Genomic DNA, 19,038 nt, shown 5'->3' with positions numbered 1-19,038 from the left:
CAGAGACCCAGGGATGGGGGGACAGAGACCCAGGGAGAGGGGACAGAGACCCACGGAGAGGGGTACAGAGACCCAGGGAGAGGGGACAGAGACCCAGAGAGAGGGGGACAGAGACTCTGAGACAGAGGGGGACAGAGACCCTGAGAGAGGGGGACAGAGACCCAGAGAGAGGGGAACAGAGACCCAGAGAGAGAGGGGGACAGAGACCCACAGAGAGAGGGGAACAGAGACCCAGAGAGAGGGGGACAGAGATCCACAGAGAGAGGGGGACAGAGACCCACAGAGAGAGGGGAACAGAGACCCAGAGAGAGGGGGACAGAGATCCACAGAGAGAGGGGGACAGAGACCCAGGGAGAGGGGGACAGAGACCCAGAGAGAGGGGGACAGAGACCCAGGGAGAGGTGGACAGAGACTCTGAGACAGAGGGGGACAGAGACTCTGAGAGAGAGTGGGGACAGAGACCCAGAGAGGTGGATGCCAGAGATGGGGAGGAGACACCTTGACTGAGGCAAGGGGCAGAGGGGGATGCAAAAACCAAAGAATTGGGGGAAGGGCAGGAACTCAGAAAGGAGGGGCCAGAGATTTAGGGGAGAGAGAGGGACACAGACTTGGGGGAGGACTGACACTAAGATAAGAGTGGGACAGAAGCCCAGAGTGAGAGGGAGAGGCAATCCCATGGAGGAGGGACAGGGACCCTGAGAGAGCAGATGACAGAATTGAAGAGAGAGGAGGACCCGTGAACAGGAAAGGAGACCCTAGTGGGGGCAGTCATGAAGGGTGAGGAGTAGGAAATACTGACACACAGAGACGGGCAAGGCCACTTGTCTCCTGCCAGCCCTCTGTGATGGGGACAGCTGTGGCCTCCGTAACCTGAGTCCCCCTACCCCTCCCAGCTGTATTTATAGCCCTGGCCTAGCCCAGTCCCTGCCCCCAGATCTGAGTTCCAGGGACAGGAGGTCATGGGCACGTGTGTTGGGGGCCATGTTCCTTTCCCCCCATTCTAGGGCCTCAATACTGACATCACTCTCTCACCAGCACGTATCATTCCAGCTGGAAACACCCCGCAATCGAACCCCCAGTCCTTCCGTCCCAGGAGTCTCTCCCCTCTGATAAGTCTCTTCTGCCTCCCCCAGGTGCCCCAGGCTCCCCCAAAAACCTGCTAAAAGTCTAGCCTTTGTCTTTGCAGCTGCCAAACGTGAGCTTGTTGGTAGTTCAAAGTCAAGTCCCTTGGCCACCGTCTCCTGGCCAGGGAGAGACCCCTCACTGGTCCCCTCCCCAGCTGGGAGGAGGAGGAGCAGGAGGCAGGCAGGCGGGGACTGACCCAGAATAACTCAGGGCTGAGAGTAAATTTAGCTGGAGAGAGGGGAGGGGAAGGACCCTATTGGCTGGGGAATGGGGAGGGAGGGCCCCAGAGGGGGGTCAGGGGGCTCCGGAGACAGCCTCAGAGGGGTGTCCAGAGCCAGGCAGCAAGGACCAGAGGAAGGTGGACAGAGACCGAAAGGACAAAGGAGAGACACAGAGAAAAAAAGAGACCAACCCCAAAGGGACAAAGACCCCAACGTTTGTCCACATTGCCGCAGAGGCAGCTGGAGCCAGTGCTGCCTGTCCGTCCCCATGGGCCACCATAGGCCATGGCTGCACGCTTCTGTCCTCTGGGCTGGGGTGGCCAGCCTGCTCCTCCCCCCGGCCATGACCCAGCAGCTCAGAGGGGATGGGCTAGGCTTCAGAAACCGGAACAACAGCACTGGAGTCGCCGGGCTCTCCGAGGAGGCATCAGCAGAGCTTCGCCACCACCTCCACAGCCCTAGAGACCATCCAGATGAGAACAAGGATGTTTCCACAGAGAATGGGCATCATTTCTGGAGCCACCCAGACCGTGAAAAGGAGGATGAAGATGTCTCCAAGGAATATGGGCACCTACTCCCAGGCCACAGGTCCCAAGACCACAAAGTCGGAGATGAGGGTGTCTCAGGTGAGGAGGTCTTTGCAGAGCATGGTGGGCAGGCCCGTGGGCACAGAGGCCACGGGAGTGAAGACACGGAAGACTCAGCTGAGCACAGGCACCACCTCCCCAGCCACAGGAGCCACAGCCATCAAGACGAGGATGAGGATGAAGTTGTGTCCAGTGAGCATCACCATCATATCCTCAGGCATGGACACCGAGGCCATGATGGGGAAGATGATGAAGGAGAAGAGGAGGAGGAGGAGGAGGAGGAGGAAGAGGAGGCCTCCACTGAGTATGGACACCAGGCCCACAGGCACCGAGGCCATGGGAGTGAAGAGGATGAGGATGTCTCAGATGGACACCATCATCATGGCCCCAGCCACAGGCACCAAGGCCATGAAGAAGATGACGATGATGATGATGATGATGATGATGATGATGATGATGATGATGTCTCCATTGAATATAGACACCAGGCTCACAGGCACCAAGGCCACGGGATTGAAGAGGATGAAGATGTCTCAGATGGACACCATCATCGCGACCCCAGCCACAGGCACCGAAGCCATGAAGAAGATGACAATGATGATGATGATGTCTCCACTGAGTATGGACACCAGGCCCACAGGCACCAAGACCACAGAAAGGAAGAGGTTGAGGCTGTCTCAGGTGAACACCACCATCATGTCCCTGACCACAGGCACCAAGGCCACAGAGACGAGGAAGAAGATGAGGATGTGTCCACTGAACGTTGGCACCAGGGTCCCCAACATGTCCACCATGGCCTTGTAGATGAGGAAGAGGAAGAAGAGGAGATCACAGTCCAGTTCGGCCACTATGTTGCAAGCCACCAACCTCGAGGCCACAAGAGTGATGAAGAGGACTTCCAAGATGAGTATAAAACAGAAGTCCCTCACCATCACCACCACAGAGTCCCCAGGGAGGAAGATGAGGAGGTCTCTGCTGAGCTTGGCCACCAGGCCCCCAGCCACAGGCAAAGCCACCAAGATGAAGAAACTGGCCATGGTCAAAGAGGGTCCATCAAAGAGATGAGCCATCACCCCCCAGGACACACAGTGGTCAAGGATAGAAGCCATTTGAGGAAGGATGATTCTGAGGAGGAAAAGGAGAAGGAAGAGGACCCCGGCTCCCATGAGGAAGACGATGAAAGTTCAGAGCAGGGAGAGAAAGGCACCCATCATGGCAGCCGGGACCAGGAAGATGAGGAGGATGAGGAGGAAGGTCATGGCCTCAGCCTGAACCAGGAGGAGGAAGAAGAGGAAGACAAGGAGGAGGAGGAGGAGGAAGAAGACGAGGAGAGGAGGGAAGAGAGGGCTGAGGTTGGGGCCCCACTGAGCCCAGACCACAGCGAGGAGGAAGAGGAGGAGGAGGAGGGGCTGGAGGAAGATGAGCCCCGCTTCACCATCATCCCCAACCCACTGGACAGGAGAGAGGAGGCTGGAGGTGCCTCCAGCGAGGAGGAAAGCGGTGAGGACACAGGTAAGTGGCCTGGGCTGGTGTGGGTGGGAAGGAACCGAGTCAGCCTGGGTCACTGCTGCCCTCCTGTCCCCGCAGGTCCACAGGATGCTCAGGAGTATGGGAACTACCAGCCAGGGTCCCTGTGTGGCTACTGCTCCTTCTGCAATGTATGTCCCCAGCCCAGATCCACCCACCAAGGTGTCCCCAGAATCTGTCCCAGGGGCCCTGGGGTGGTGCTGTGGGAGGGCTCAGAGCAAGGGCAGGCCAGGGTCAGTTCTGAAAGAAAAGAGATCCTTCTGCAGGCATGTGAGGTGAGGACAGACTGAAGGCTGGGAGGCTGGGGCAGTGGTCCAGGAAGGAGAGGACAAGACCCAAGCTGCATCTTGGGGTGTGGGGACAGAGACAGGGGTCTGTGGCAAAGAGAGTCGGGGGAAGGAGGGATGGCACAGGGGCTGATAGGCTAGGGGGAGAATAGGCAGAGAGCGGGTGGAGAGAGCACCTGAGCCCACCCTGACAGGGAGACATGGGGTCGCCCTGAGATAGAAAACCAGGGGCAGGGCCGGGTGTGGTGGCTCACGCCTGTAATCTCAGCACTTTAAGAGGCCAGGGTGGGCGGAACACGAGGTCAGGAGATCGAGACCATCCTGGCTAACACGGTGAAACCCCATTTCTACTAAAAAATACAAAAAAATTAGCCGGGCGTGGTGGCACGCACCTGTAATCCCAGCTACTCAGGAGGCCGAGGCAGGAGAATCGCTTGAACCCGGGAGACGGAGGTTGCAGTGAGCTGAGGTTGCGCCACTGCACTCCAGCCTGGGCGACAGAGAGAGACTCCGCCTCAAGAAAAAAAAGGAAAAAAAGGGAAAGGAAGGAAACCAGGGGCAGGGGAGGGGAGGGGAGGCTGGTTTGGGGGGCAGATACAGAGCTCAGTGTTAGAGATAAAGAGGGTAGAGTCTGGGGAAGCGTCCAGGGTGCAGGGGTGGGCCAGGGGCGGGTACCTCCCAAGTGGCGTTAGAGTTTCCATCTAACCAGGCTCCCCCGGTCCCCAGCGATGCACTGAATGTGAGAGCTGTCACTGTGATGAGGAGAACATGGGTGAGCACTGCGACCAGTGCCAGGTGAGACCTCACCTCACACTCAAGGCTCCACTGGGCCTCAGGATGCACCGGGACCCTCTGAGGACCCCCAGCCCTAAATCCTGGCCTCTGACCCAACCCCTTACCCCTGATGCAACCTTGACTCCACAAGCGATCCTGACTCCAACCTTAACCTAGACCTAGCCTCTGGTCCGGGTCTGGTCCCGGCCCCATCCTAACTCCGCCCCCGGCCACGCCCCACGCTCACTCTCTCTCCCCGTCCCCGCCTCCAGCACTGTCAGTTCTGCTATCTCTGCCCGCTGGTCTGCGAAACGGTCTGCGCTCCAGGTGAGCATGGGCGGGGCCCTGGAAAAACCTGAGGAAGGTGCCGGGCCCAGCGTGGTGAATCCTGGTGGGGGCGGAGCCTGGCCCGGTAGGCTGGTGGGGCGGGGCTAAGAGGGGAGGCGTGGCCAAGGCTCTGAGCACGTGGGCCGGGGCCTGGCTCGAGGAACACCAGGTGGAGTTGCTGGAGCCAAGGGACAGAAATGAGTGGAGGGTTGAGATGCGGGCTTAGAGCCTAATGGGCGAGGCCAACTCAAGTAGGAATCGAAGGGGCGGGGCTACTGGAGAACGGAATCACCCAGAACGAAAAAGGGGTCCGGTAGAAGGGATTCAGTTGGAAGAAGGAATTAGGGAAAAGGAGGTGGAGCTAGCACTAATCTCGCACGCTATACTGAGTGGCTGCCTAATTTTGCTCGTGCAGTACCCCTCAAGCCTCTTTTCTCTGCTGTCCCACAGGAAGCTACGTTGACTATTTCTCCTCGTCCCTTTATCAGTAAGTGTGTAAAAGGGGAGCGTGTAAAAGCCCCGTTTAGAGAAGTGCTTGTCTCGCTATGAGTTATCAGATGACTCTGGGACTCCATTTCCCCGTCCATGAAATGGGCAGGTTAATGATCTCTAAGCGTCCTGGGGTGGGCTTTGAACACCAGCTGTCTAACTTCTGGCGTTCTCGTCTCCAGGGCCCTGGCAGACATGCTGGAAACGCCGGAACCCTGACCCAGTCGCTCGACTGCGACGCAGGTGTACCTCCCCCTGCCTTCCAACCCCTTTCCACGAGCTATATTTATTTCTCCGAATAAACGTGCTCCCCGAAACCTCATTGTCAGACGTGGGGTCTGGGAATCTCAGGGCATCGGGGAATGCGGGTAGGGTCTAGAGACCTGGACCTAGACTTGAGGGATGAGGGGCCTGGACTCCTGGCTCGAGGTGGTTGGTTGAACAGCCCCCCCCCCCCCCGCAAAAAAAAAATCAGTCAACAAGGAAGCTTTTTGAAACAGTTCTCTTTACCCGTGATCACTGAGTGACGCCTGGGGCGGGGAGGCCGACCGAGAGTCGGGGGCGAGGGCTCCCCCACCGTCCCCCTGCCCCCACGCCACGTCGCCCAGCGGCATCGTGGAAAGAGGATTCTCCCATGCAAACCCCGGAGCCAGAGGAGAAGGGGAAGCGCCATTCTGCGCCCCCTACCCCCGGGGCACGGACACGGCCACAGCACGGGGGGCGGTGAGGCCCCGGGGACACGAGACACGGGGGAGGGAGAGGGGAACCCGCCCGCAGATGACCCGGGGGACCGGCGACCGGACGCGGCGGGGCGGAGCTGAGTGGCACAGGGGGCGAGGCTTGTAGCAGCGAGTCCCCCCTCCCCTCCTTTCGGACGAAGAAGGAAGACTTGGGCCCCGCGACTGGGCAGGAAAAAGGGGAGGGAGCAGCCTCTCCCCGCATGCGGCCCGGGAGGGAAGCCCCGCCCCCTTCCCGCGGGTAAAGGACACCCGTCTCCCAACAGAAACTGATCAATAAATTACAAAGTAGAGAAAAGGAAAGCGGACGTTTGGGGCGGGATTTCTTCCTCCCCGCTTCTTCCCCCTCTCAGTCCAGTTCATGTGGTTTGGTCCAGGCCCCGGCCCTGTGCGAGGCGGGCGCGCGCACTCCCGCTGGTCTGTACAGATGGTCCAGTCCTCGGCGCGAGCTCCCCCGCCCGCTCTCCCCGGCGAGGCCACAGTCCGGGCAGGAGAGGGAACAGCCCAGCCTCGGGAAGATTCTTCCGTCCGAGTGAGGTCACCTGCATGACGCCGGGCAGCGCGTGGAGCAGTGAAGATCCACCGTGCCGCCCCGCACCCCCAAGGTCGCCCAGCACGGTCCTCACCTGGAGGCCTGCACTAGCAGGAATAGGTCCGGACCGAAACGCCGTCTGCCCGGGAACTCCCAGAAGTCTGGCCTGGAGGGAGAGCGAGCAGCGGTTCAGCCTGGAGCACCCTCCTCCCTGTTCCTCTCCAGGATTCCTCCCTTTGGACTTCCCTTCCCGATGTCACAACGATCGCCGGGCTCCACATGGGTTTCCCTCCCTTCCCCGCAGCCAAGGACTCAAACTCGCATTGGGCGAGTTCACTCCCGCCCTGGGAAGGGGGAGTGGGATTTATCCATTTCATCCTGACGGGGGAGTCCGGAACGTTGGAGCAGTCCATTCCTCAGGGGTGGGCGAGAAAGGACTAGGCCATTCCAGAACCCGGACTACTGAGGTGGTCCATGCCCCACCCTAGGGAAGCGAGGAAGGGCTGTCGCATTTGGGAGCCCCCCACCTTCTGGCTGCAGCTTGCGGAGAGGGAGCCCCGGAGAGCCCAGGGCTCCCGCTGCAGCCGAACGAAAGTTGGGGGGCAACATCTCAGCTGAGTCGGGAGTTACGCCTCGGAGGTCCTTCTCCCGGAACATCTTCCGCCAGGATGGGGAGCGGCTGAAAGACTTGGCGCTGTCCTAGGTATAGGAGCCGGACAGCCGGTGAGGGACTCCTGCCTTGTCTGACTCCGCCCCTTCCTTTGACTCCACCCCTCTCCGGGTCTCACCTCTCCTTTAACCCCGCCCCTCTCCTGGCCCCGCCTCCAACCGTGACCATTAATAGTCAGGCCCCGCCCCCTCAGCTCAGCCTCTCGAGGAGCCGCTGGGAGCAGAGCCCTCTGAGCTGTTGCCGCGCCCACCTCGTCCAGCCGCCTGTCTGTGCCTAAGGAGATAAGGTTGCTGAATTCCTTCTCCAGAAGCTGCCGGGCCTGGAAAGAGGAGGTGGAGGGGGCGGTTGGAGCGTGCAGTCTGCGAGGTGGGGACGCCCAGCATGCTCCGGGCCCAGCGGCAGCTCACCTGTGCATTCTGCGTGGGGATCTGCAGGAGCAAGGCCAGGTCGGAGTAGTCGAAGGTCTCGTCCAGGGCGAGCAGTGCCCCGTGTACCCCGCTCTCCGTGAGGTTCGTGGCAAATTCCTTCAGGCCCAGCCCGGACACCCAACCCATGACCCGCTCATTGGACCACACCATCACGTCTGGGGACGGAAGGGACCCTCAGCCGTGCCCCTCCCGTGGCCTGGAGAGTTCAGTTTAGCCCATACCTCCACCTCCATTTGGTCTCTTCGGGCCACGCCCCCCACGCTGGCTCCACCCCCACGGTTATGGTGCCAATTTGCTTCTCCGGTCTCCCCCTACCCCCTCTCCTCCCCATCCAGCTCCACGCCCTCCACCTGGCTCCCAAAGGGACCCTTAGGCTCTACTCACCTCGGATCTGGGTCTGACTTTCTTCCCGCCTCCGCTCCAGGTCCTTCCGGTCATAGTTGAGCCGTTTCAGGCACATAATCCCATAATGTAGACTCACCCTGAGCAGCAGGGGAAGTGGAGTCACGGATGAGCTTTCCAGTCCCCTAGACTGCTGCTCCTACGGGTCCCTCCCCACTGGCTGCGCTCTTCTTGGAAAGGGTGGGGAGCTGATAAGTTCTATTGACTGTTGACCCCCTCAGGAGGTGAGGCATTTTCAATAATAGGCACTTCCTACTGGCCAGCCTGGAAGGGGTCCAGGGTTAACTAGCCAAGCCATTTCAGGATCTGAACTTTTCCTGTGGACCATCTCATTGGTGAAAGGAGCACAGAGTCAGGATTTCCTGAGAACTCAGGCTAAAAGGGCCAAGATAAGCCTGGGAATCTCCCATGGCCAATCCTATTGGCCAAAGACTCTCTGGGGTGGGGCTTCCCTTTGGACTGTCCCCACTGGCCAGGCAGCCCCCACCTGTGAAAGCTGTCCACCATCTTGAGTTGGCCCCGGAGCTCCTTCTTGTTAAGGTGATCTAACATTCGAGCGTCCACCAGCGACTCCATGAAGTAGCTGCGGTATTGGGGCAGCCCCAGGCTGGGCAGCCAGTCGTTCCCCACCCACTCGTGGTTCATGTCGCCATATGCCAGGATCTGGGGCCATGGGCAGGTGAGGGAAGAGTCAGGCCCTCTGGCCCCTTCCCACTGTGCATGAGAGGGGTACAGTCCAACCTCCCAATCCAAGGTTTTTTCCCACCCCATGGTAGGACAATGACCAATCTCTGCTCAGGATAATGGACCAATCCAGAGTTGTCTCCTAGCCCTTCATGACAGCATATACTCTTGGCTACTCAAACAGTTGTCCTGAGACCTAGAGCGTCACCATCACCTGTGGACTTGCTGGAATTGCAGAATCTCAGACCTTACTCCAGACCTACTGAAGTCGGTATCGGCATTTTCACAAGACCCTCAGGTGATTCGAAATATACATTATATTTATTTTTAAATTTCTTTCTTTCTCTCTTTCTCTCTCTCTCTCTCTCTCTCTCTTTCTGAAAGAGTCTGCTATGTCACCCAGGCTGGAGCGCGGTGGCACGATCTCGTCTCACTGCAACCTCCCCATCCCAGGTTCAAGCAATTCTCTTGCCTCAGCCTTCGAGTAGCTGGGATTACAGGTACGAGCCACCACGCCCGGCTAATTTTTGTATTTTTTAGTAGAGACGGCGTTTCACCATGTTGGCCAGGCTGGTCTCAAACTCCTGACCTCAAGGGATCCGCCCACCTCAGCCTCCCAACGTGCTGGGATTACAGGCATGAGCCACCGCGCCTGGCTGTATTTGTTTATTTTTTAGAGACAGGGTCTTACTATGTTGCCCAGGTTGACCTCAGCTTCGTGGGCTCAAGCGGTCCTCCTGCCTCAGTCTTCCAAGTAGCTGAGACTACAGGTGTGTGCCACCCCACTACACATTAAATTTGGGGAAGCACTGCTTTAACTCTGTCTCACTGCAGTCCAACGTCACTAAACCCCCAAGTCAGGACAATGGACTCTTTCAAGGCAGCTCTCCCACTAAGAAAGGGCCATCACTCTTGCAATGTCCTGAAAATACTTGTCTAATGTTATATCTGGCCCAGGACAATATTCCAGATGAGTCCCAAGTCCCTCACTCCTTTCAGCATCAGCACAAAATCCACGCCTCCCCCTGGCTGGAAATATGTGATCTATGACCACAGTCAAACATAATTCCTCCGTGGACAGTGAGTTCATGCCTCTTGGGTTTTTTTGTTAGTTTATTTGTTTGGTTTTTATGAGATGGAATCTGGCTCTATCACCCAGGCTGGAGTACAATGGTGCAATCTCGGCTCAGTGCAACCTCTACCTCCTGGGTTCAAGCGATTCTCCTGCCTCAGCCTCCCAAGTAGCTGGGATTACATACGCTAGCCACTGCACCCGGCTAATTTTTGTATTTTTAGTAGACACAGGGTTTCACCATGTTGGCCAGACTGGTCTCAAACTCCTGACCTCAGGTGATCTGCCCACCTCAGCCTCCTAAAGTGCTGGAATTACAGGCGTGAGCCACTGCGCCCGGCCGCCTCTTGTTTCTTGAGAACAAAGTGTAGCTCCTCCTCCCCAACTTCTCATTCAGCCTGGCTGCCTCACCACCACCACAGCCAGTGTGTCCTCCTTGGCCCTGGTACACTGAGCAGTCCACTGTAGCCCCCGCCCCCTCCACTATAGGGACACCGGCTGCTCAGTCTCTCCTGAGCTACAGAATTGAAGCCCCTTAGAGCCCCCACAACCCACGATGATGAAATGGTCCATGCATAAGGCTGACTATGCAACAGTCTGGGCTTCCACATCGCATCCCCTCTACCCTCCCCACCGCCAAGCCATAATGGAACAGTCCAGAGCCAAGCTTGGCGCAGCGCCCCCCCATGGGGATGATGGCATGTTCTGGTGAAGGCAGGGGCAGGGCTCGGAGGAGGGGCATCCATGCGTCGTGCACAGCCTGTTCATGCGCTCACGCCCCGCCCCGCGCCCCCTACCTGCTCCCAGCTGATCTCCTTGGTCTCCTGACCCGTTAGTAGGAAGAGGGGAGAGAAGGGGTGAGTTAAGGGGCAGGCAGAGGAGGACGCAAGGAGCGGACTTAGGGATGGCCACAGACTCGGTCCCCGCCCCCACCCCCAAAGAAGGTTAGTGCCACCCCCAAGGCGGCCGGCAGGGGGCACTCACGGGCTTGGTCGTGGCCGTAAGGGACTCCATCTCCTCGTGTGTCATCCACACGTTTCCTGTGGACTGAGGGGCAGGGAGTGTTAATGGATGGTGGGAGAGGGCTTCGCGTGGGGGAGAGGAAGGAGGGTGTCCTCCTGAAGGCCCTGGGCCACACGTTTATGTCCCTCCTGCTTTCTGGGGCAAGCAGTAACAGAGAAAAGGAATGATTCTTATTATAGGGCACCTGCCATGTACCAGGCAATGTGACTTTGGAGTTGAACAAATTCAGGTTGGAATTGGGACCCTGCCATGCATTTTGCTGTGTGGCCCTGTGCAAATGACGTCACCTCGCTGACCTCACACAGAGGTACAGAATGAGGATTCAGAAGTGGGGGACAGACACAGCCATGGTGCAAATGTTTAGGGAGTATGGCGGGGGGGGTTCACATTTATTGAGCTTCTGCTCCCAACAACCTCACGAGTTAGGAATCCATACAAGGATAAAAACATTTATGTACTTCTGGTGAGTGTCAGGCACCAGTCACCGTCATAGGGTGTGGGATATGGCAAGGGACACGACAGACACTTTTCGTCCTAGTGGGGGAGAAACAATGAACATATTTTAAGTATGTTGGGGAAATTTGAATACAGAGTGAATAGTAAATGAAATTAACAACTGTGGCCAGGCGTGGTGGCTCACACCTGTAGTGCCAGCACTTTGGGAGGCTGAGGCGGGCACATCACTTTTGGAGATTGAAGACTAGCCTGGCCAACCTGGAGAAACCCCATCTCTACTAAAAATACAAAAATTAGGCTGAGAGTGGTCTAGCACTTCGGGAGGCAGAGGCGGGTGGATCACCTGAGGTCAGGAGTTCAAGACCAGCCTGGCCAACGTTGGTGAAACCCTATCTCTACTAAAAATACAAAAATTAGCTGGGCATGGTGGCGTGTGCCTTTAATCCCAGCTACTCAGGAGGCTGAGGCAGGAGAATCACTTGAACCAGGGAGACGGAGGTTGCAGTGAGCCAAGATCGCACCACTGCACTCCAGCCTGGGCGACAGAGTGAAACTCCATCTCAAAAAAAAAAAAAAAAGAAAGAAAAGAAAAGAAAAAGAAATTAACAACAATGTGAATGCCCTTAGGTGTGATAAAGGATGTGGTGTTTACAAGGAAGAAAAAGACCCACTAAAGTAATTTTGGGGGCTAAGATGTTATGACTTTCTCCAATTACATTCAAGTACAGGTCTCTGAGCATCCCCAACCTGAAAATCCAAAATCCAAAATGCTCCAAAATTCTAAACTTTTTTTTTTTTGGATGCACTCTTTCTCTGTCACCCAGGCTGCAGTACAGTGGGACAATCACAGCTCACTGCAGCCTCGACCTCCTGGGCTCAAAGGATCCTCCCACCTCAGCCTCCTGAGTAGCTAGGACTACAGGTATACGCCACCACACCCGACTAATTTTTGTATTTTTAGTAGAGATGGGGTTTTGCCATGTTGCCCAGGCTGGTCTCGAACTCCCGGGTTCAAGAGATCGGCCATCCAAAGCCTCCCAAAATGCTGGAATTACAGGTGTGAGCCACAGTGCTTGGCCCTAAACTTACGTGCTGACACGAAGCCACAAGAGGAAAATCCCCCACCTGACCTCATGTGACAAGTCACAAACAAAATGCAGTCAAAACTTTGTTTCATGCACAAAGCTATTTAAAATATTGTAGGCCGGGCACGGTGGCTCACGCCTGTAATCCCAGCACTTTGGGAGGCTGAGGCAGGTGGATCACGAGGTCAGGAGTTCAAGACCAGCCTGGCCAAGATGGTGAAACCCCATCTCTACTAAGAATACAAAAATTAGCAGGGCGTGGTGGTGGGCGCCTATAATCCCAGCTACTCGGAAGGTTGAGGCAGAGGATTGGAATTGCTTGCACCCAGGAGGCAGAGGTTGCAGTGAGTCGAGGTCGCACCATTGCACTCCAGCCTTGGCGACAAAGCAAGACTCCCATCTCGAAAAAATAAAATAAAAATAAAAAATAAAATATTGTATAAAATTCTTTTTAGGCATGTGTATGAGATGCATATGAAACATAAATGAATTTCATGTTTAGGCTTGGCTCCCATCCCCAAGATATTTCATTTATATGCAAATATTCAAAAAAAACTTTTTAAAATCAGAAATTCTAAACACTTCTGGTCCCACGTATTTCAAGTAAGGGACACTCAACCTGTACTCCCCACTCCCCGCCTCCACCCCACACACACAACAGAGCAAGTACAGCAAAAGTTTGAGAATCGCTGAACTGGGTACACATGATTTTCTGTATGTTTGAAATGTCTCGTAATCAAAAGTTGGAACGAGGGCCAGGCGTAGGGGCTCACGCCTGTAATCTCAACACTTTGGGAGGCCGAGGCGGGCGGATCACCTGAGGTCGGGAGTTCAAGACCAGTCTGGCCAACGTGTCAAAACCCTGTCTCTACTAAAAATACAAAAATTAACTGGGCGTGGTGGCGGGCGCCTGTAATCCCAGCTACTCAGGAGGCTGAGACAGGAGAATGGCTTGAACCCGGGAGGCAGGGGTTGCAGTGAGCGGAGATAGCGCCATTGCACTCCAGCCTGGACAACAAGAGCGAAACTCTGTCTCCAAAAAAAAAGGAAAGAAAAGATAAAATAATTAGAAGGCAATAAATGCTATGGGGAAAATTAGAAGGTGCTGATATGCCGGAATGATGGGGAAACTCGTTTAGCTGACAAAGAAAGCTTCTTAGAGGTGGTGACATTTGAGTGGGACAGCAAATGCCGAGGAGAGGGAGAGAGTCAGGGAAGGAGGTGGCCTGGGCCCCTCCTGGAGTACCACAGGGACGGACCACAGGCCAAGTTAGGAGTGGAGGGGAGGCTGAGGGGGGTAAAAGCCAATGAGAAGCAGGGTCGTGGGACAGGGGAGTGAGCAGGCCCAGGATTGGCTAGACTGAGGGCAAGAGGCGGGGCTCTGAGGAAGCGAAGGCTGGAATTGGCCGCCGGACACTCACAGTGCGGGAGGAGGCGGGGGCTGAGGGCGAGGTGAGCGAGACCATCTCCTGGATGGCGAGGCGTAGCTTGAGTCGGTGCAGCGGGTTGCTGATGCCGATCTCGCGCTGGATCTCCGTGTCTGACAGGTTGGCCATGATGGCACCGCTCTTGACATTGGCCCGGCAGGCGGCCACATACCAGGCAGGCATGCCCACCCACAGCTGCAGCGGAGGGACAGAGGGACAGAGGGGACAGAGGGACAGAGGAGGAGAAAATCGGAGAGATGGGGGAACAGGGAGGTGGGGAAAGGCAAGGGGGTGGGGAGCGAAACAGAGACGTGGGAAAGTTCGCAAGGAGAAGAAACAGGACAAGGAAAAGAGACGTGGACGAGATGAGGGAGAGTCCGAGGGAGACAAATAGGGAGAGAAACGGGGGGCGGGGGGCGGGTGGGGGAAGAGGGAGAGGGAGAGAGAAAGAGAGAGAGAGAGAAAGAAATAGAGAGAGAGAAATAGAGGGTGGGGAGAGACAGGAAGCCGGAGACAGGGAGACATCGGCAGGGCGATCGGAGACATGAGGAGAAATATGGGGAATGACAAAAGCGTGGTCAGAGATGGGAATGGTGCCGAAAAATAGAGACAGAGAATCCAGAAAGAGAGAGTAGAGAGAACGACAGGAGACCATGACCCAGGTGGGCAAGGCCAGAGTGGCAGGGGCAGAAGGAGAAGGAGAAAGAAACTGTTTAGGTGAACAGGAAGCCCGAGCCCTCCTGGGTCCTCACCTGCCAGGCCCATGGCCACCCCCACCTCTGGGCTAGAAGCAGGGTGCGCCAGGAGGACCAGGCAGCCCCTACCAGTGGGGCTGTCAGAGGGGTTGGGGACCAACAGTCAGGGCATTTCTGGGCCCCAGTACCTCCAGCCAGGACACCACGGTGGGCCCGTCCCAGGCAGCAAAAGGTAGGCCCTGGCGGCAGGCCTCCTCCAGGAGTTCATGCCTGTAAGGGTGAAGGGGCCAGGATAGAAGCTGTCAGGGATGGAGACCCCCTGCTCTGTGGATGGCCCCCATCAGCACACATACACACACACACACATGCACATACGCACACGCAGCTTTTATGAATGTACAAAACACGGCAGAAGGTCAAAAAATACATGTGAATCTGTAAATCCTCTCCCCCCAACCCCTATCAAAAGAGAGAACAAAATAAGAAAAACAAAAGAAACAAAAAATATAATATAAATGTAAAAAATACAAAAAAAATTTTTAAAAAAAGAAAGAAAAAATAAAAACTCTAGGAGCTCCTGGGTTTCCAGGCAAGCAAGTTCAGGATCACGGACACCTCCTCCCAGCATTGAATTCCCATTTCTGTTCACCACCACCACCGCTGCACACACACACTCACACACCCTCTCACACACACACACACTCATACACACACATACACGCACACACACACCCTCACACACTCTCACATTCACATACACACACACACGCTCACACTCACACACACTCACTTCCTCTTGTTCCTTCGGTCCTTGTCTCCTGGGCCTGTCAGCTTGGCTAGCCCCAGAGGGTCAGTGGCCAGTGTCTCATCTGAGGGTGTTCCAGCTGGAGGCAGGGAGGGGTCGAAATTTGGAAAATCTCAAGGGGGAGGCAGAATCTTTCATGCTGGAGGTGATGAGGAAAATGCCGGAAAGGCAGAGGCCCTGAGGGAGTAGTGAGTGAGGGCACATCGAGGAAGTGATAAAGGCAGACAAGCGCCCATGAATTGGAGTCATCCCCAAAATACGGCTGGATGCACTGGGATGCCCTTGGTAAGGTGGCAGTTGTATGCTGGTAAATGCCTAACAACCGGCTCCTTGGGGAGGCAGAAGGGAATCCCTGATTTGTAGCATTTGCCCATTTCCATGGTGTAAATAATCCCACCATGGCCAATTTCAAGCTACCAGTGTGATGTCAGCCAATTCCTGAAATAGCGGATCTCCTGAGCCAGTGCCAGCGGGCTCCAGCACACCACAGGAAGGTGCCCTGCTTTGAGGATGCCCCACCCTCTTCCTCTGTTTAAAAAATAGGTGGCTGGGCACGGTGGCTCACACCTGTAATCCCAGCACTTTGGGAGGCTGAGGCAGGCAGATCACAAGGTCAGGAGATCAAGACCATCCTGGCTAACACGGTGAAACCCCATCTCTACTGAAAATACAAAAAGTTAGCCGGGCGTGGTGGTGGGCGCCTGTAGTCCCAGCTACTGGGGAGGCTGAGGCAGGAGAATGGCATGAACCTGGGAGGCGGAGCTTGCAGTGAGCCGAGATAGCACCACTGCACTCCAGCCTGGGCGACAGAGCAAGACTCCGTCTCCAAACAAAAAAAAAAAAAAAAAAAAAAAAAAAAGGTAAATGAGTCTGTAATCCCAGCACTTTGGGAGGCCGAGGTGGGTGGATCATCTGAGGTCAGGAGTTCAAGACCAGCCTGGCCAACATGAGGAAACCCTATCTCTACTAAAAATACAAAAAAATTAGCCAGGCATAGTGGCGGGCGCCTATAGTCCCAGCTGCTCAAGAGGCCGAGGCAGGAGAATCGCTTGAACCCAGGAGGTAGAGGTTCCAGTGAGCCAAGATCGTTGCCACTGCACTCCAGCCTGGGTGACAGAGTGAAACTCCATCTCAAAACAACAACAACAAAAACCAAAAAACAACAAAAAAATAAGTAAAGGAAATAAATTCCTTTACCTACCCAGTCACCCAAGCAGGTCCCAGAGTGCCCTTTCCTTTTCCCTCCTCCTCCCGCCTACCTTGGCAAGCTGTGTTCCTTCCAAATTCTAAATAAATCACCAAATGAATGAAGACATGAATGGATGTCAAATGAACATACAAAGAAGAAAGAAAGGGAGGGAGGAAGGGAGGAAGGAACAAAGGAGGGAAGGGTTAGAGTGAGGTACTCACCCAGAGAAGAGCTGTCCCGGCCTGGGGGTCCCATTCGTCCCTTCTCTTTCTTGCCAAAGAGACGGCCTATGGATGACTTGATGCTCTTCTTCTTGGGGGCTTTGTGCAGAGAATCTGGGGTGCCCTCACTGGGAAAGCAGGAGAGAATGAGAGCATATGCTTGCTGAGATGCCCCCTCTCCTCCCAAGTCCTTGTCCACCCCCTTCTCATCTTCCCAAGCCAGCTTCTCCCTGTCCCTATCCCTTGTCCCTGCTGACCTTCCCCGTGGGGGTCCCCCATCTTCCAGGGACCCCGCCTGCAGTGCCAAGGCCTGGGTCATTCTCTCAAGACGGGCAGAGCGGGGAGTGGGTGGTGGGGTGTCTCCTGGGATGGCCGGCCCCTCCCCTCGTGGAGCTCCAGCTTCCTCCTTAGGGACATGATTCTGAGGACAGAGGGCACAGATGCTGGATTGAGTTCAAAGAGTCATGTCGGGGGCTCCTTATTAACTGAGATGTCTACTAAGGTGTGTGTGGGGTGACCCTGGTTTAGAACACAGTATACGAAGGTAGTCTAGCTCAAGTCAGGGTGAGTTGCAGAAACTTTTTTTTTTTTTTTTTTTTGAGATGGAGTTTCACTCTTGTGGCCCAGGCTGGAGTGCAATGGCACAATCTCGGCTCACTGCAACCTCTGCCTCCCAGGTTCAAGAGATTCTCCTGCCTCAGCCTCCCAAGTAGCTGAGATTAAAGGCATGTGCCACCATGCCCGGGTAATTTTTTTTTTTTTTTTGAGACAGAGTCTAGCTCTGTCGCCAGGCTGGAGTGCAGTGGCATGATCTCAGCTCACTGCAACCTCTGCCTCCCGGGTTTAAGTGATTCTTTAGCCTCAGCCTCCCAAGAAGCTGGGACTACAGGCCCACACCACCATACACGGATAATTTTGTATTTTTAGTAGAGATGGGGTTTCACCATGTTGGTCAGGCCTCAAAGAAAGCTAATGAGTTACAGGTTCTGGAAGCAGGAAAGCTGAATTTAAGGGAGTAAAATAGGGCCAATATCTCTTTGTCTCCCTCAAAGGTCAATTCTGAGGATCTAATTTGTAGTTCTCCAATGCATGTTGTCACAGAAACTTTTTTTTTTTTTGAGACACAGTTTCACTCTGTCTCCCAGGTTGGAGTGCAGTGGCACAATTTCAACTCACTGCAAACTCTGCCTCTTGGGTTCAATTGATTCTCCTGCATCAGCCTCCCGAGTAACTGGAATTACAGGCACGTGCCACCAGGCCAGGCTAATTTTTGTATTTTTAGTAGAGGTGGGGGTTTCACCATGTTGGCCAGGTGGGTCTCGAACTCCTGACCTCAAGTGATCTGCCCACCTTGGCCTCCCGAAGTGCTGGGATTACAGGCGTGAGCCACCGCACCCAGCCAGAAACTTTTTAAAATCCTATGCAGAAACTTGACGCATGAGAAATAAAAGTAGACCAGATCTGACTAAAGTGAAAGTTAGGGTTCAAGATCCCAGTGACTCAGCCTCCCCTTTGCCCTTTGAGTTTGAACCTTTAGGGAAAGCTGAGGTTGCTTTGGAAAACCACTGGTGTGAGGGGTTATTGTTGCTGTACACTGGGGAGCCCTGCCTCTGACCTCTCCCCATCCCCCTACTAGGCTGGGGAGACTTCAGAGCACTCACAGCCTTGTCGGTGCCCTCACGGGCAGGGCTAGGGGGTGCCAGGCGGGGTGTTGAGTGGCCAGAGCTGGGAGGGGAGGGGCTGGCAAGGGTAGAGGTGGTGAGGGAGGGGGGCAGGGAGCAGCTGCTGCGGTAGCGGCCCAACGAGTCCAAGCCAGAGCTGGACACCCGACTCTCCAGCTCCTCTGCCCTCTGTTCTGTTGTCTCCTTCTCCTCTTGGATCAGCCTGAGGAGGGAAATAGGGGAAACTGGGTGAGGGGCCGCAGCAGACAGCGGGAGAGGGAATCTGGGAGCACAATGGGCCAGAAAGGCCTGGTGGGGCAATGGGAATTCTGGGGACGGTGCAATGACGTCAGAGGACTTTGGTGGGTTTCTGAAGGCCTTCCAGGCTCAAGGAGAGTCAAGGGGTCCTGAGAGTCTCAGGAAGTCATTGCAGGATTAGGGCTATCAAGGTGATTGGGGTTTGTATCAGGGTGGCCCTGATGATAGTCAAGGGGTTTGGAAAATCATGAAGGGATTACTATGGACAAAAGGTCAAGTTCAAGGTGGCCTGTAAGAGCAAGGTCATAATAGGAGCATTGTGAGATCAGGGACTCAGGCCAATCTAGGATCTGGGA

General features: G+C 55.5%; 2 protein-coding genes across 9 annotated transcripts in view, besides 3 other annotated features; one reads left to right on the top strand and one right to left on the bottom strand.

Annotated features, from left to right (window-relative positions):
- HRC (histidine rich calcium binding protein) lies at positions 1,456 to 5,654 on the top strand. Of its 2 annotated transcripts, NM_002152.3 has the most exons (6): positions 1,456 to 3,445; positions 3,521 to 3,591; positions 4,474 to 4,542; positions 4,794 to 4,848; positions 5,299 to 5,335; positions 5,520 to 5,654. In NM_002152.3, exons 1-6 carry the CDS (start codon positions 1,615 to 1,617, stop codon positions 5,554 to 5,556), a joined length of 2,100 nt encoding a protein of 699 aa, NP_002143.1. In that variant the 5' UTR covers positions 1,456 to 1,614; the 3' UTR covers positions 5,557 to 5,654. The 2 variants fall into 2 exon arrangements, with proteins under 2 accessions (NP_002143.1, XP_016882222.3); XM_017026733.3 differs by lacking the exons at positions 3,521 to 3,591; positions 4,794 to 4,848; positions 5,299 to 5,335; positions 5,520 to 5,654.
- Positions 4,911 to 5,520: an enhancer, noted in NCBI's record as "H3K4me1 hESC enhancer chr19:49654589-49655198 (GRCh37/hg19 assembly coordinates)". NCBI's record gives its function as "activates a minimal SCP1, AML or CMV promoter by ChIP-STARR-seq in primed H9 embryonic stem cells {active_cell/tissue: H9 hESC(primed)}" and the evidence as "EXISTENCE:reporter gene assay evidence [ECO:0000049][PMID:30033119]".
- Positions 5,655 to 5,825: 171 nt separating the features above from the next.
- The window catches only part of PPFIA3 (PPFI scaffold protein A3), a 31,483-nt gene continuing 18,270 nt past the window's right edge, over positions 5,826 to 19,038 (bottom strand). Inside the window, exons 16-30 of one of the 7 annotated variants that reach the window (NM_003660.4) lie at positions 18,425 to 18,647; positions 17,021 to 17,184; positions 16,764 to 16,891; positions 15,339 to 15,432; positions 14,737 to 14,818; positions 13,848 to 14,048; positions 10,847 to 10,909; positions 10,660 to 10,686; positions 8,594 to 8,769; positions 8,089 to 8,186; positions 7,684 to 7,859; positions 7,527 to 7,595; positions 7,134 to 7,305; positions 6,701 to 6,772; positions 5,826 to 6,616 (exon numbers count right to left, since the gene is read on the bottom strand). In NM_003660.4, the coding sequence (NP_003651.1) occupies positions 6,714 to 6,772; positions 7,134 to 7,305; positions 7,527 to 7,595; positions 7,684 to 7,859; positions 8,089 to 8,186; positions 8,594 to 8,769; positions 10,660 to 10,686; positions 10,847 to 10,909; positions 13,848 to 14,048; positions 14,737 to 14,818; positions 15,339 to 15,432; positions 16,764 to 16,891; positions 17,021 to 17,184; positions 18,425 to 18,647 (1,732 nt within the window). In that variant the 3' untranslated portion in view covers positions 5,826 to 6,616; positions 6,701 to 6,713. Of the gene's footprint in view, positions 7,306 to 7,526; positions 7,596 to 7,683; positions 7,860 to 8,088; positions 8,187 to 8,593; positions 8,770 to 10,659; positions 10,687 to 10,846; positions 10,910 to 13,847; positions 14,049 to 14,736; positions 14,819 to 15,338; positions 15,433 to 16,763; positions 16,892 to 17,020; positions 17,185 to 18,424; positions 18,648 to 19,038 lie in introns of all 7 variants that reach the window. The other 6 variants (XR_007067023.1, NR_103842.2, XM_047439582.1 and 3 more) reach the window with 6 other exon arrangements.
- Positions 7,110 to 7,329: an enhancer, noted in NCBI's record as "active region_14927". NCBI's record gives its function as "activates an Ori minimal core promoter by ATAC-STARR-seq in GM12878 lymphoblastoid cells {active_cell/tissue: GM12878}" and the evidence as "EXISTENCE:reporter gene assay evidence [ECO:0000049][PMID:35858748]".
- Positions 14,607 to 15,200: an enhancer, noted in NCBI's record as "H3K4me1 hESC enhancer chr19:49644909-49645502 (GRCh37/hg19 assembly coordinates)". NCBI's record gives its function as "activates a minimal SCP1, AML or CMV promoter by ChIP-STARR-seq in primed H9 embryonic stem cells {active_cell/tissue: H9 hESC(primed)}" and the evidence as "EXISTENCE:reporter gene assay evidence [ECO:0000049][PMID:30033119]".

Source organism: Homo sapiens, chromosome 19 (assembly GCF_000001405.40).
Source record: "Homo sapiens chromosome 19, GRCh38.p14 Primary Assembly".
Taxonomy (NCBI): domain Eukaryota; kingdom Metazoa; phylum Chordata; class Mammalia; order Primates; family Hominidae; genus Homo; species Homo sapiens.
Note: the sequence above shows the minus strand (reverse complement) of the source record. Positions and strands in the feature narration are given on the sequence as shown.